Source organism: Homo sapiens, chromosome 18 (genome assembly GCF_000001405.40).
Source record: "Homo sapiens chromosome 18, GRCh38.p14 Primary Assembly".
NCBI lineage: Eukaryota > Metazoa > Chordata > Mammalia > Primates > Hominidae > Homo > Homo sapiens.
In genome coordinates this window covers 31,638,824-31,654,584 of record NC_000018.10, presented here as the reverse complement: position 1 = coordinate 31,654,584, position 15,761 = coordinate 31,638,824, and the positions used below count along the sequence as shown (strand labels likewise).

Genomic DNA, 15,761 nt, shown 5'->3' with positions numbered 1-15,761 from the left:
AGTGAATTTTTCAAACTAGAATACAGATAAAATGTGTTTCATACATTTCAGCAGTGTTTCATATTCAATAGTGGCCAATTACACTATAAAGCCTATTTTAATATGTATATTTTATATGAAGAGTATGAGTGAATACTTCTTTCTTGTTTGTTAGTATTTATAGATTTTCCAAAGGGCAAATCCACATTCAGCTTTATTGCATTTATGTAAGATTCTTTGTGCTAACAAAGTAAAATAGAAGTTTCACCTTGTCTAAGGCTAAAAATTAATAAGTGCTTAGTGTGGATGTTTTGATTTTAATTTTTATGGGTGAGGTAGAAATGGAAAATGTCAATTGCATACTCTGCATTAGACTGAAAATAGACTTACCTTTAGTTTTCCTATCTTTTAATTCTTATTCAAATAGAATACGTTTGCAGTGACCTTTATATATTCTGTTCTTACTATTTGTGGAATAGTTCCCTTTATGGTTTAACCCTGATAGTTTCTATAGTTGCTAACCTTATGAATATAACAAAAGCTCCAAGGACTTCTTGAGATGGATTTAAATAATTCAAATGAAAATCAGCAAAGAAGGAAAAGATAAGCAAACAAACGTCAGCAAAGCTCAAATAATGCTAATGTAACAAACTGTCATGCATATGTTTATTGTAAAAAAAAAAAATGAGATGGGAGCCATTTTAGAGTCAACAAGTCATTGATGAACAGCCGCTGTGCAGCGGTCCCTGTGTTGTTCATAGAAGCAGGTACGGGAGAGACAAGACTGAACGTGGTCATGTGTGTGGCAGCTTGGAGCAGGTAACACACTTGGAGAAAGGCATGCTATGAAAAGATTATGAGGCCGGGCGTGGTGGCTCATGCCTGTTTCCTAGCAGTTTGGGAGGCTGAGGCAGGTGGGTTACTTGAGGTCAGGAGTTCAAGACCAGCCTGGCCAACATGGTGAAACCTGTCTCTACCAAAAACACACACACAAAAATTAGCCAAGTGCAGTGGTGCGTGCCTGTAGTCCCAGCTACTTGGGAGGCTGAGGTGGAGTATCGCTTGAACCTTGGAGGCGGAGGTTGCAGTGAGCCGAGATCGCACCACTGCACTCCAGCCCAGGCAACAGAGCGAGACTTTGTCTCAAAAAAAAAAAAAAAAAAAAAAAAAGAAAAAAGGTTATGAATGTGACAAAAGGGAGACAGCAGTTTATTTTGGAAGGGAAAGGACGATGTCAGAGAGAGGTGTCATCAGAACTGGGTCTTACAAGATAGCTGAGAGAGAACAGCATCACCACAAGGGAGGCTCTGTGTATTCCCGGACTGGAGAGTGGTCGGCTCTGCCCAGAGAGGGTGTGTTAAGTGGCGTGTATGGGAAATGAAGCTGGCTAGAAGGGTCTTGTGTAAAGGACTGAGGAATCTGAGGGCCTTGTGGGTTCCATCATTCCTAGGCATCCATGAGGTGAGCTTCAGAGGGAGAAGAGCCTGTGAGCTTACATGCAGACAGTTGATTTATGAGCCTGTATGCATTTCTCTCAGGTGACAGTGCATGATTTTCAAAGGGTCTAGGGGCAAAAAAAAAAAAAGCAAAAATAAACAAAAAACACCACTGCTTTAGGGAAATGGAGAACCATCGAAGGCTTTAGGCAGGTGAATGATGGACTAGGATTGTATTTTAGGAAGATTATTCACATGAGAAGCTGAACAATGGGTGAGAATGGAGAAATACTGGGATCAGCAGGAGACCAATGAGGAGCTTGCTGCAGGAAGCCGACGGGCAACAACAAGGGCAAGTGCCAAGGCTGTGGCGTTGGAGAGAGGAGAAGGCACAAAAAAGAACCTACAGGGTGCCATTGGCCAGATGTGGCGACCAGTTGAGGGGTGAGGGTTAATTTCCAGGTTTCTGACTTGGTGACCATGAACTGAAGTGTGATACAGAGTAACCGTCGCATTTGGAGGATGGGGAAGTTAGTGGGTTCCGTTTGGGCCGTTTTGTTTGAAGTTCAAGAGGGTTAACTTGGGGTCTGCCTTTAGTAAGAGATCCGGACTGAACATCAGAGGAAGTGAGAGGGGAAGAAGGCTGAGAGTGGGTCCCTGAGAAAATCCGTACTTGTGAGGTGAGTGGCGGTTAACAGAAGAAGGGGAGACAGGAACCTAGAGAAGCCAGAGGGTGGTGTCTGGGGGGCGAGGCAGGAACACATCCCAGAGAGACAAGACTGCTGTGTCTTGTCACACACCTCCAGACAGCAGGGAGAGTGAGGAACTGTGAAAGGGCCACTGAATTTGGTGCAGAAAACGAATGGAGAACACAGCAAGCACGAATTCAGTAAAATGATTGGGAGAGAAGCAAAGTAGACTCTTGAGAAGTGCGTCAGAAGTGTATGTAGACTGTAGGTGAAATGAGAGAAGTTTGGTGGCAAAGGGAAGGAGATTGGGGTAAAGGATCTGGAGGAGGTGGAGGTAAGGGAAGAGCTCTTTAGGAAGAGATGGACTTGAGCATGTTGTAGGCATCATGGAAAGAAAGGATGGAGAGAAGAGGCCGGGCGCCGTGGCTCACGCCTGTAATCCCAGCACTTTGAGAGGCCGAGGCGGGCAGATAATGAGGTCAGGAGATCGAGACCATCCTGGCTAACACAGTGAAACCCCGTCTCTACCAAAAATAAAAAAAATTAGCTGGGCGTGGTGGCGGGCGCCTGAAGTCCCAGCTACTGGGGAGGCTGAGGCAGGAGAATGGCGTGAACCCAGGAGGTGGAGCTGGCAGTGAGCTGAGATCTCGCCACTGCACTTCAGCCTGGGAAACAGAGGGAGACTCCATCTCAAAAAAAGAAAAAGATGAAGAGAAGAGAACTGGGAAGGATGAGGGAGAAGCACAAGGGAGGTCTCCATAGAGCCAGGTTAGAAAGTGAATGGAGACAATGCCTCAGGTTGAAGAGTGAGCATGGAAAGCCTCAGGAATGCCTCCTCCCCTGAGGAAGCCCGCGGTTTATTTGGAGATGAGGTGGAGAGGTAGGGTGCTCGTGCCTGCTGTGTCTGTTTTCCTAGTAAAGCAGGAGGCCGTGTGTCCCTGAGGGGATGGCCAGGAAGGATTGAGCAGCTTGAAAGGGAGGAGTAAGTATTTAAAAAGTTGTCATAGGGAATGAAAAGTGAAGTCAACTAATCATAAATTAGAAGGTGACTAACAGGTTATCCTAGAGAGCCCCCCACCCCACCCTGGTGGAGTCACAATACAAAAAAAAAGTGACACTTGTTTTTGCTGAAACCTTACTATGCTTGAGGCAATATGTTAGGTATTGCCACCCAAATGATGGGATTAATCTATATGCTTACGTGCTTTCTTTAGTGCTGTTTATTAGGTAAAGAATTGGAGCATGGATAATTGTCGCTGCAAGGATGGGACCTGTAGCTCAGGTGTGGCAGGTTGAGGGGGTGGTAGATAAGGTGTTTGTCAGTGTGTAGGTGCTGTGATCGGGTGAAGGTCATAGAGCTGCATTTCTCTTAAGTGTGATTCAGATGATCTACACTTGTTAAAAATGCAGCTGGGGGCTGGGCGCGGTGGCTCACGCCTGTAATCCCAGCACTTTGGGAGGCCGAGGTGGGTGGATCACAAGCTCAGGAGATTGAGACCATCCTGTCTAACACGGTGAAACCCCGTCTCTACTAAAAATACAAAAAATTAGCCGGGTATGATGGCAGGAGCCTGTAGTCCCAGCTACTCGGGGGTGAGGCAGGAGAATGGTGTGAACCCGGGAGGCGGAGCTTGTAGTGAGCCGAGATGGCGCCACTGCACTCCAGCCTGGGTGACAGAGCGAGACTCCGTCTCAAAAAAAATGCAGCTGGGATACCTGTTAAAAATGAAGCCTCTGAGCTAAACCCTAGACTGCAAAAGTCAGGGTTCTTGGTTGCAAACCACAGAATATACTTTATCTGATTTAAGAGAAAAAAGAATTCATGAAAATATATTAGAGAGCCCAGAGACAACCTGGGTGGCTAGAGAATTAGGTTGAGAAATTGAGCAGCCAGAACAAGGCTCAGACCGCTTTGAAGCATCTCCTGCTGCCACTTGTCAGGGCTTAAACCTCCTACCAGCATTGCTCAGGTCTGGAGACCAGAAGTGCCACTTCTTGGTTCCTGTAAAGCTAGAAGCTTTTGCCACCACTTCGGGTGCATTTGGTCATATGACCACTCCTACCTGTTAGAGGGGTTTGGAGAGTGGGTTCTAGCTTTTTCCTTTGAAAGGCAGGACCCAATGGTGGGTAGTTCAAGCCGTTGAAATGTGTTCAGTTAAAGCCAGTGGCCATAAACGTGACCCATGAGCTTCAACTGACACAGAAACTTTGACAATGTGGCCAGTCAGCTGCATTTTAAACAAGCACAGCTGGTAATTCTTAGGCACACATCAAAATTAGCAAACCACTTTATACAGAGGCCAGTGTGGATATAGCAGAGAGGACTTCAAGTCTTCATGGAATTGAAGAGGGACTTCATGGGAGGGGAGTGGGAGAAGGTGAAAGAGAAAGAGGCTTTAATGAGAGGGTGCAGTGTCAGAGTTGAAAGCCAGTCATTTCTAGGTGACTGTGGTTCAGGGTCTGGACACAGAGCTGGGTGTCACTGTGAATTCACTATTGTGAATATTGCTGCAATGAACATAATAGTGCATGTGCCTTTTTGGTAGAATGATTTATTTTCTTTTGGATATTTACACAGTAATAGGATTGCTGGATCAAATGGTAGTTCTGTTTTATGTTTTTTGAGAAATCTCCAAACTGCTTTCCACAGTGGCTGAACTAACTTACATTCTCACCAACAGTGTATAAGCATCTCCTTTTCTTCCCAAGCCTCGCCAGCATCTGTTGTTTTTTCACTTTTCAATAATGGCTTTTCCTATTGGTATTTGATGCTGTCTTATCGTGGTTTTAATATGCATTTCTCTGATGATTTGTGATTTGGAGCATTTTTTTTTGTTTGTTGGCTACTTGAATGTTTCCTTTTAAGAAGTTAGTATCTTTTGCTCATTTTTTTTTTTTTTTTTTTGCTCATTTTTTAATGGGGTTGTTTTTTGCTTGTTGAATTGTTTAAATTCCTTATAGATTCTGGATATTAGGACTTTGTTGTATGCACAGTTTTGCATAAATGTCTTAAAGAAATATTTTAGCACCTGATGGAGCCAGGGAGTAGAAATGCAGGTAGGTGGAAGCAGGGATGAGACAGGAATCTTCCTACTCATTCATTCATTCATTCATTCTGTGTCCAGGCATTGCCCTTGGCAGTGGGGATGTGTGACTAATGCTCTGTCTTATGTTTAGAATGCTCAGGTTTGGTTGCTTCAAGAAAACTTGAGTAATAAATCGTTTGTTAAGCAGAGGTTGTCAAATTTTATAAGTCGAGAAGCTTAAGTAAAGCATTTGAAATAGGCAGTATCTAGTGTTGGCTTCAGAAAGGACAGGAGGTGACCAATGGCTGGATGACTCATAACTGTTCAGCCTCAGAGCTGTGCTTAGGAGGCAGCACAGAGTGTGGGAGGGAATGTCCCATCTTGTCATAAAAATGCTTTTCTAGCTTTGGAGAGGAATTTACCCTAAGGGACATTTCTAGGGGAAATTCAGGTCTTTCTCTGACACTGTCATCAGCTCTTTGAGCTGTGAACATTTAAAACCCTGAGGGTAAAACAGACAAAAGCCAACATATCCAGAATTAGGTTTTAGATACCAAAAAATAGATATAGGCTCCAAGCAAAATGAAATAGTTATTTAAAACTATTGATTTATAGAACAAACAACTCTCTGGAGATTATATGCCTTAAATTTTACTTGAAATGTTAGAAAAATATAAACGTAGGTAATTCATAGGTTTTGAATATTTGTTATTTTAAGAATTATATTTTAATAGAAAAAGTAAAATCCTAAATCATGTCATGTGATACATTATCATCCATAGCACAATAAGCCTGTTGTTTGGGCCCATGCATGCCTGGCTTTCCCAGATGGGCAGCATTGCTGCATATCTTGCAAATTCAGCATTAGGATATAGTAAATGTCCTACATAACCAATGGTGCAACTAAGTTACCCTCACACATGATAGAAGCAGTTTGGCACACACGACTGGAAGGTAGCTTCCAGCTGACTTGAGTTCCCTGTCCTTCACCTTGACCTTCTAGGTACTTGGCAGCCCCTCCACTCTTCAGACACTCAGTTCTCCTGCTCTTTCCTTTCTAACCCCAGCGCCACCTTCAAAATAGTGAAATTCAGTATTTGGTAAATTATATTATTTACATTTGCTGATTGTGATTACACTGCTGGGTAAATGGATTTCAGTCAACATATTTATTTTCTGATCTTTAAATCTCTAACTGGGAAAGAAACCACTTGTGCCAGTTAAAAATCTTAGATTTATACTATTACATCTGGGATTAAGAACAACAACAACCAATCTCAGATTCACCACAGAGGAGAGTGAAGATTGGCTCTCCATGGAGTTCAGTGGATCTCTTCAGTTGCCCTTGAAATCTCAGCGAGTGAAATAAAGGGGACTGGCCCAGTTGATGGTGTCCTTCTTTACAAGAAGGACATTCCCTCTCTAGCTTCATTCATAGCAGGTGGTTTTCCGATGCCTTTTGTTTTGTTTTTAAAGCAGTGGAAGGCTTTCTTGAGTGAAACCTAAAGGGGACAAAAGAGTACGCGAAAGAGATGAAAGTGGCTGTGTTGGGGGAGCCTGAGTCCTCCCTTCTCCAACCACAGGATCCCTGAGAGAGGTCCTTCCCAAGGACGGTTTGGAAACCACACCATCATTAGTTTATCTGCAGCATACTTCTTCCTGGCCACTCTTTTTATAACATGACCTTTTCCCTTCCCTTCCTATGTACAGGATCTTCTCCCTAATACCACTCCCCACAATGATGAATGTTTGTTCTTCCTCTCTCTGATCACACTTTCGCTGTTCCCAGTGGTGGCAATACTTGTCCTGGGAGGCCTGTCCCCTACACTCCCCAGTATAGCGATGTTGCTCTTATCATGGGTAGCATGCCACCAGGTCAATCTTTAGCCTTCAATGAGCAAATTACTAGGATTTCAGAGCAAAGGGCAACAAGCACATAGGAAAGCTCCTGATGGACTCTGAGGGGTGTGGATGGGGTGGGGGAGGTGCACAACCCCGAGGAGTGTGAACTTAGGATACCTCAGGCATGGGGATAGTGATGGACAGAGGAAGCCCTCTCTATTGAGGGAAAGAAATAAAGCCTGTCTCTTGCCAGCACATATGCGTTGGAGATGGAAATTAAACTGCAAATGATGCTGGAGAAAACTGCTGACAATAATGATGATTACAGCTGTTGAAGCAATAAAGCTGGAAAAAAGACAAAAAATGTGGTTTAACAGTGCAGAAAGAATACCAGCTTCAGTTACTTATATGAACTGCTTATTATTTAGCCTAATTACTATCATTTTAGCAATCATGCATACTATTAAATGTATCAGATTTATTTGTGTAAATTTTATTTGATTACAATGTTAGATTCTGTTCTTTGTCAGCTGAGTCATGATAGTCTGTACTTATGTTTACTGATCAATCTTACATTTTACTTACTCTTTCTCTGCAAGTTCATAGGTTTCTCTTTCTTTTAGATGAATCTGACCTTTCTAAGATTAGCTAGTTTGTGTATCTTGTCACGCTGAAGGCTGAGTGTTTGGTTATAAAAGACTGCTTATGTTGTCAGTAGAACAGGCAGGCATTAGAAGATTGCAATTCTTTTTCTAACTTATTCTGGGAAGCAGGTATTTCGATGTAAAATACTCTAGCATGCCTGCGTGGAGGCTACAGACAGCTCTGCCTGGTTAGGATGAAGTGGGGACAGGAAGAGAGGCCATTGTGAAAACTCCTAAAATATAGAATAGCAGGAGCAAAGAGGCTCTCTAGAGAGGAACTGAGTGTTTTTATATGAAATTGTGGCCACATGAAACTCAGAAGACTCGAAATGGGAAACCTCAACATTTGTTGGTTTGTATTTTATGAGATGAGGTCAGAGAGAAGAATTTGGCTGGAGGGCGCTCCAGAGCAATTTGTACCTATTTGGAAGTTAACGGATGACATTAAAACTGCTAAAAGATGATCTGTAGTTTCAATAGCCTTTTACATCCTGTTCTAACAGTGAAGTCATTGAAGATAGCATTGCTTTGAAGGGATGTTAGTGATCATGCAGCTATTTTAATTCAGGGGGAGATAAAGAGGCTTCTTGATTCTTAGTTCTCTTTTGGGGTTAACGGAAGTGGTTTTCCATTCAAGATTCATTCCTGTTTCAATGGTATACATTAGAAAAGCTACTAGTAAGAACACCTCCAGTAATGTCATATATTTGTTAATTTGGAGAATGAGTGCCTGTTAGACCAGGAATACCTCAGAAGTGGTTTTTCAGTTTTGTATGCCAAGGGGCCTGATATATGGTAAGTGCTCAGAATCAGTACTTTGAATTATGTTTGCAAATTCCCTCTCTTAAGAAATGTCAGTAGGTAACAGTAATAGTAGCTAACATTTGTTGGTTGTACCTAATGCCTGACACGGCATATGATCCTTCACACAGATGATTTCTTGGAATGGATACAACCACCTTGGGAGGCAGACATCACTGTCCTTTTTACAGAGGAGGAGGCTGAGGCACAGAGAGGTTAAATCATTTTCCCAATAGACAGAAGCTAGGAATCAGTTCCCAGTCAATCTGACTGCTTATTTCATTGTTAAGTACTGTGCCATTGTGTCCCCTGTGTTGAAAATGTTAAAATTAAAAATGGTATTAAAATATTTGAATAGTTGTTAAATTGCAGTGTTAAGTTATAATGACATGCAAACATTTTCCAAATAATACTAAATTATTCAATATATTACCCAAAAGCAAAACGGTTTTTAAAAAGAATTTGATTTTCTTTGGCCGATTTACCAAACATAGAAGGGTGACCATATATATTATCATTGAAACTAAAAGTGAAAGGGAGCGCTATTCATAATTTTGTGGTGGTAACAGGAGTAAACTGTATTGTCCTGGCAACTAAGATATGCCATCACCCTGCTGATTATTATTTGTTCTACTAGATCTTTGAGGCAAAAAATATTAAAACAATTCTTTACATTTTTAATTTGTAGGAGGATTCCTCAATGTCAATGTAAGCGAAGTCAGTTTTGATGAAATTCATCAACTCTTCTCCAAGGATTTAGATATTGAGCCAGGGGGTCATTGGAGGCCAAAAGACTGTAAACCCAGATGGAAGGTGAGGTAAATTCTTTTCATAAGCAATTTGATTGTTACTGAGCATTTGAGGAAAGAATGTGCTTGATTCAGAATACAGAGACAAATGTCTTTAAGTCTTGATAAATTTAAAACATCAAAAGTTTTGTCTTTAATGTTTACTATTTATAATTCAAATGTGATTTAAGTGTTATGTGTGAAGACTGTAAATGCACCTGTGTAGATACAAAATAGATGCTCGGTTCATTCTCTTTGAGTTCCTGGTAATAAATACGTGACTTGAGTTTGGCTTGGAAAATAGATTTTTTTGTTGTTCTGTTCTGTTTGGAAGAGAGGCTGTGAGTTCCCTGCCTCCTGCAGCTGTCCCTAATGATTACTGACACCTGCAAGCATAGCCTCACCAGTTTCTGAATTGTGAGAACTCACTGGGAGGATATTAATATCCCGATTTTCAGTTTGTTCTGGCATTGGGGTCTTCAAGCTCTGTTTCTCAGAATCCAAGATTATAAAGAGGCTGCTCAGAGATCACTGTGGGACTTGAAAAGTTGGACTTTGGGCTCTTCTTGGCTTCAGAAGGCACAGCCCAAGCTTTCTTTCAGTCTTTTTGATATGTCAGAATTCTATTCAGTGTTTTGTTTGAAAAACTGTAAGGGGGTGGGTTTGCCTCTGCTGCTTTAAAAAAATTGAAAGCCATAATTTAAACCAGACTTGCCCTCAAAGCTGTGAAATTGGTTAACAAGTGCATATTCATCTAATGTTACTACGTTTGAGTAAGAAATAACATTTATGTAATTCCAATGAAAACTACAACTGATAAATCAAGTGTTATTTCCTAAAGGATTGTGATATAACCTTGATCTGGAAACAGTTTATCTTTTAAAACATTAGTATACTTCTAGAATATTTGTATTTTCACCTCCCCCCACCCCCAAAAAAAACCACTAGTAGGAAGGAAAATCATATGCTGTTAAACTCATGAAAAAGACCCTCTGACTTCATCTACCATGAACTCTTCGTGTTTGAAGATGTGTATTATTTGTATCTGTATTCCCAACACAGAGCACATTGTCTTGTGTAAGGTAAGCACTAAACACAGTTTTGTTGAATTGACTCTATAAGGCAAATAAAAGCCTTTTTGGCCTTGTTACAAATGATTCAATAAATGGTCAGCTTTCTTATTGCCTTGAACAAGTTGTGAAGCTGCTTAAATGGATTCCAGTACCAATTTTAGCAAAACATTTAATTTTATAATTACCTTACACTATTTCCCAGATCAGATTCATTTAACAAATGAATCTCTTCATATTTCTTGATTGATTTTCCTCACATTTGTAGCTATATGAAATGCGGCCCAATTTACATACATTCCACCTTTTAAAAATAGCCTGGGCACATAAATTATTTTTAACACTTGGGTGCTGAGTGTGTATATTGAATGCTAATAGAAAAAGAAGCATACTCAGTCACCGAGGCTGTGGGATAGCATGGAGGTTCATGCTCAGATAGTTGTTTGTACAGAATGTAGCACACCCCTCAGGTGTGCTCTGGGTAGCATACTAGTAGAACAGTTTAGGATAGGAAAAATGAAGTATTTTTCTCCTGTTTCTAGTGATCTATACCAGATGGATTTTAAATTTTTTGTTTGTTTTCTTCTCATTTTCCAGGAGACAGGTGTATCACATGAGTATTTCCTACTTAAAGATATTAGTAGACTGACTGTAAACTACATATGATTCAGTAGGTAACAGTATGGAAAAGAGTTCCTGGGAACAAACTAATTCAGGGATCTAAGGTTCATACCTGTAATCCCAGCACTTTGGGAGGCTGAGGTGGGCAGATCACTTGAGGCCAGGAGTTTGAGACCAGCCTGGCCAACATGATGAAACCTCATCCCTACTAAAAATACAAAAATTAGCCGGGCATGGTGGAACATGCCTGTAATCCCAGCTACTCCGGAGGCTGAGGCGTGAGATTTGCTTGAACCTGGGATGTGGAAGCTGCAGTGAGCCGAGATCGCACCACTGCGCTCTAGCCTGGGTGAAGGAGCAAGCTGTCTCAAAATAAATTATTTTATTTAGGAACTATATGATAATGCTGCTTTTATTTCAACTTTTAGCAAATCCTTCTCAGAATGTAGTCTCTAGTTCAGAATTACACAACTAAAGGTATGAAAGGAATTTTGGAGATGATTCAGAAGTGAGCTGTACTCATATAAATATTATATAACTATCATCTCACTAAATATTTAGTTAAATGGTTTCTCCCCCTACCCGTCCCTGCCTGCTTACTGATAATGTTCCATTCTCATATTGGAACAGTGGAGAGAGAGGGAAATAAGAAATAACTAGATTTATGTTAAACATCTGTCATCAACTTGATTCTTAATATTTGAGGCCCCTTTTTTAAATGAGAAAAATACCAATGCAGTTAGTTGATGGCAAATTAATTAGAACTGAGATCTTTCAAAACTAGTAATTTTGGCTGGCCAACCTGTTGAGACCCCGTCTCTACTAAAAATAAAAAAATTAGCCGGGCGTGGTGGTGCAGGCTTGTAATCCCAGCTACTCGGGAGGCTGAGGCAGGAGAATTGCTTGAACCCGGGAGGCAGAGGTTGCAGTGAGCCAAGATCGCGCCCACTGCGCTCCAGACTGGGCAACACAAACAAACAAAAAACCACTAGTAATTTCAGCAATTCCTAGGTATTCTTGAATGCTGCAGGTTTAAGTAGAAGATCTGCGCAGGTTGGACACCTTCTGGGGCAAGCTTGTATCTAAAGAAGAACATGAGAATGCTATGCAGGTCATTAAAAGTGAAGTGTACCTGTGACATTGACTTTCCATTCAGATTTCAGATGGAGGGCTTGATGAACAACTTTGGTCTATAACTTCCAGGCTTAAAGAACCAGGCAGCTGCTTGATGCTCTTGTCTACCCAGAGGCCTGGAGTTTCATTTATAGTCCAATGTACCTCAAAGATGAGTCTTGGCCTCCCTGTTTCAGAACTACTTGAGGCATATGGTGAAAATGCTGATTTTTGGCCAGGTGTGGTAGTTCAAACCCGTAATCCCAGTGCTTTGAAAGACTGTGGCAGAAGGATCACTTGAGCCCAGGAGTTTGAGGCTGCAGTGAGGTGTGATCACACCACTGTACTCCAGCCTGGGCTATAGAATGAGACCCCCATCTCTAAAAGAAAAAAAATGCAGATTCTTGAACTCAGTCCTCAAACATTCTGATTCTATTGGTGGGAAGGAACAAGAACTTGCATTTTTAACCAAGTGCCTCCAGTTTGAGAACTGCTCCTGGAGGTACTGGAAATGAGGAGGAATAGGAAGATGAAACTAAAAACACTGAAGGAGAATGAGGGCTTACTAGCTTCTGCTTACTCAGTGGCAGATAACTAGATTCACCTTAAGGTTACCAAGCCTAAAGCCATGTCATTTAGGGACAGTGTAGCTGGTGGTGTGCTGAAAATTTGAAAGCAGGACAGAAACTTGGTGGGAGAAATTGATGTGATACACATTTTTCTTGATGTTCTCCTCATGGTGTATATAGGAGAAAATAAGCAAGGGAAAAAATGGTGCATATGTTCAGCAAGATTTGTGGTTTTAAAGTAGGAGCAAACTGAATGGAATAATTTTGCTTGATCAAGAGGTGGTGAGGAGAGATTCAGGAGGATGAAGTGTTGTTTTATCAGAAGATAATGACCAGATATTCTCGGTCTCCACTGGAGGTGTATCAGCAAGAGAGTGGCTCAAACAGCAAATTAGGGCACATAGAAGAATGTCCTGAAACAGGCTATTAAGCCTTAAAATAAATGATCACAGAACACTGAGATCTTTTCTAGACAAAAAAATTGTAAACTATGGAGGACATTCTTCCACAAACACAAGAACTGATGTGCCAGATGAACTTTTAAGATATTGTTTAGCTTTATTTTAATAAAAGCTTTGCCTTAGATTTATCACATATTCACAATATTTAATAACCCTCTCATTAAAATTTGGACATCTATTTGCTGTTAGCACATTAGGTTAGCTTATTTGAATTTGCCAAGACACTGGTAATTTCTTTTATTACCGTCTCAGTTTCCTTATGAGATTAAAAGAAAAAACACTTGATATTTAAATACTTCATTGAAGAGATTATTGTATTAGGAGCTAGAACTTTACTTTTTATTTATCCTTATATGTTCAGCTCATCACTCAGTCTAATTGTCTTTAATTAATATGCACTGTCTTTAATTGGGACTCTGCAGCCATTTAATAATTTCTTCCCTCAAATATCTGTAATTGGCCTTAACTGCTTTTACAGCTCATTGACATTATGTCATAGGTGGCCAACTCGTGGCCAAATTCAAAATCAAGAAGGGCAGGCTTGACTTACTAAGCTACATGTTATCACATGGATATGCTTTAGATAAGGTTAGTGGTGGGATATGTACTCACCATCTAACCTCTTTTGCTCCTTTTACTTTTCATAGCACTTTTCCATCCTAAAAGTAAACCCCTGAGCTAGCTTCACAGTTGTTTTGATTCGGGAATTCCTTGAATATGCCAGCCATTGGCGCTGAAGCCCAGCAGTAAGTGCCCCTCAGTATATAGTTCCAGTACAGTTGGCAGCCATTGTGCGGGGGCAGGAAGGAGGTCTTGGATGTTGGGTCGGTATTGCTGGGGTAGCCTCATGGTCCTCAGGCTTCTGAGCCAAGAGAGACGTTATGGGGAAACCAAAAAGGAATGGGACCCAAAGTTGGGCTGGCAGGGGCACCAGACCTCTTTAGTTCCTACCATTTGCCAGATAGATATGCTGTGATTAATTATTATCATGAAAACATCAGCCTCATAGCAGCCATTGTCTCTTGTTTTTGCTATCCCATCAGCATTAAGGGAAAATGAATGGGGGAGTTCATAGTTTAGACATCTTCAATTTTACTAAATCATTTTTTGTTCTCTTTATAAATGAAACTTTTTGAATAATTTAAAAATTTCTGCCATCTATGATCCTGGTAACGTAAAATACATGGTTAAATATTATTTTCGTTTGATGATATCTAATATCATGTCCTGATTTTAAAAGGATTAGGTGCAAAACTTAAGTATTCTCAATTATTTCCATTTATTCATTTATTAATAAACTTTATTTGGTATAGGTAAAATTTTAGTAAATCATGGATTTAATATTCTTTCACAATATTCTGTTACAACCAGTTTAGATTGTATATTTAAAAAATCCAGATTATAGAGTAACACAGAGGTATTTTGGTTAGATATACTTTCACTGTTGTGTTTTTTTGAAAATCTAATGATTTTGGAATTTATGATCTGTAGAAAACTTGCTTTAATTTCAATTTTATTAGAAAATTCACAATAATAATAAAGCTAGCTCAGCTAGGAAGTTGCTGAGAAAAGTAATTTTGAAAACACTTTAGGTTTTTCAAGGGCAAAATCTAAATTATAAGGAGATCTAGATTGTATGACAAAGTTTGTATCCAAGAAATAGAGGATTTGAATTAGTGATGATTGATGATCATTCATTTATTCTTGTATTACACTAAAACATTTTATATAAATGGTGTTTTTAAGTGTTGGGTTTGAGAGTTCCATTAGATTTTTTATTTCATATTAGAAGAAAGATTAACGTACTAAGAAACTATTTTCATTTCCATGTACATGTTTTTTCTTTTACTTTTTATATGAGAACAAATTTCTCTGGTTGATAAAGACAAATGTCTGTGCTGCTTACATCATCTTTTCTTGTTATGGTTTGTTACCAGTTTCATTTTAAACTGAATATTATCCTACCACTGAAATAAATTTTAAAATGTATCAAAAACTTAATTCTGCATTTTGACTAAATGAAAAATATATTAATTATCAAACTTCATGTGTATTTTGGGGCAATATCATGTATGATTGAGGTTTTTTGTATGCTATGGCTGGAGTGTGAAGATTTTGGTTTCTATTATATTTCTGAAAATATCTCTAGGACAGAGAAACCATGTGTAAGATAGTAGATATTCAAGTGAAATGTCTTTTAAATTCAATTCAAAATCCAGGAAGTTATTATTTAGGATCTACTCTAAAACCGAGACGTTACTCTTATGATACATTCCCCTCCCTTACTTTTCATGCCCAATTGATAGCCAAACCCTGCTAGCTTACCTCTTAGATGTGTTGAAAACCCATGTACTTCTCTTCTCCTTTATCCTCCTGTTAGTTTAAGCTACCATTACCTGTTTTCTCAACGACTGTACTAATTGCCTAACTAGCTCCCTGAGTCAATTTTTGGTCTTCTCCAGTCTGCCCTCCATATTGCCACCAAAGTAGTCTTTGTAGTCACCACATCTGATTTATCACTCTCAATTTCTCATGATGTTCATAGGTTAAAGGCCACAATCTTTAGAAAACGCTTCAGAGCCCCTTCTACCTCTCAGCTTTATAAGACCATAGCAGCATGCAGCAAGGGCTTTTTGCGTGTTTGCTTGCTGTTGTATCTCTGATGAGAAAATTCATAAGGACGTGGCTTTAAAACCATCAGAAGTTTTCAAGGATTGATTTT

General features: G+C 40.0%; 1 protein-coding gene across 10 annotated transcripts in view, besides 2 other annotated features; it reads left to right on the top strand.

The window, feature by feature from the left end:
- B4GALT6 (beta-1,4-galactosyltransferase 6) overlaps positions 1 to 15,761 on the top strand; it is a 102,396-nt gene that overhangs the window by 70,057 nt on the left and 16,578 nt on the right. For 7 of the 10 annotated variants that reach the window (XM_005258387.5, XM_047437943.1, NM_001378109.1 and 4 more), the window contains one exon: positions 9,106 to 9,230. The exons of the other annotated variants lie outside the window; for them this stretch is intronic. In XM_005258387.5, the coding sequence (XP_005258444.1) occupies positions 9,106 to 9,230 (125 nt within the window). The remainder of the gene's footprint in view (positions 1 to 9,105; positions 9,231 to 15,761) is intronic. 10 annotated transcript variants of the gene reach the window in all.
- Positions 2,156 to 2,225: an enhancer, noted in NCBI's record as "active region_13202". NCBI's record gives its function as "activates an Ori minimal core promoter by ATAC-STARR-seq in GM12878 lymphoblastoid cells {active_cell/tissue: GM12878}" and the evidence as "EXISTENCE:reporter gene assay evidence [ECO:0000049][PMID:35858748]".
- Positions 2,236 to 2,335: an enhancer, noted in NCBI's record as "active region_13201". NCBI's record gives its function as "activates an Ori minimal core promoter by ATAC-STARR-seq in GM12878 lymphoblastoid cells {active_cell/tissue: GM12878}" and the evidence as "EXISTENCE:reporter gene assay evidence [ECO:0000049][PMID:35858748]".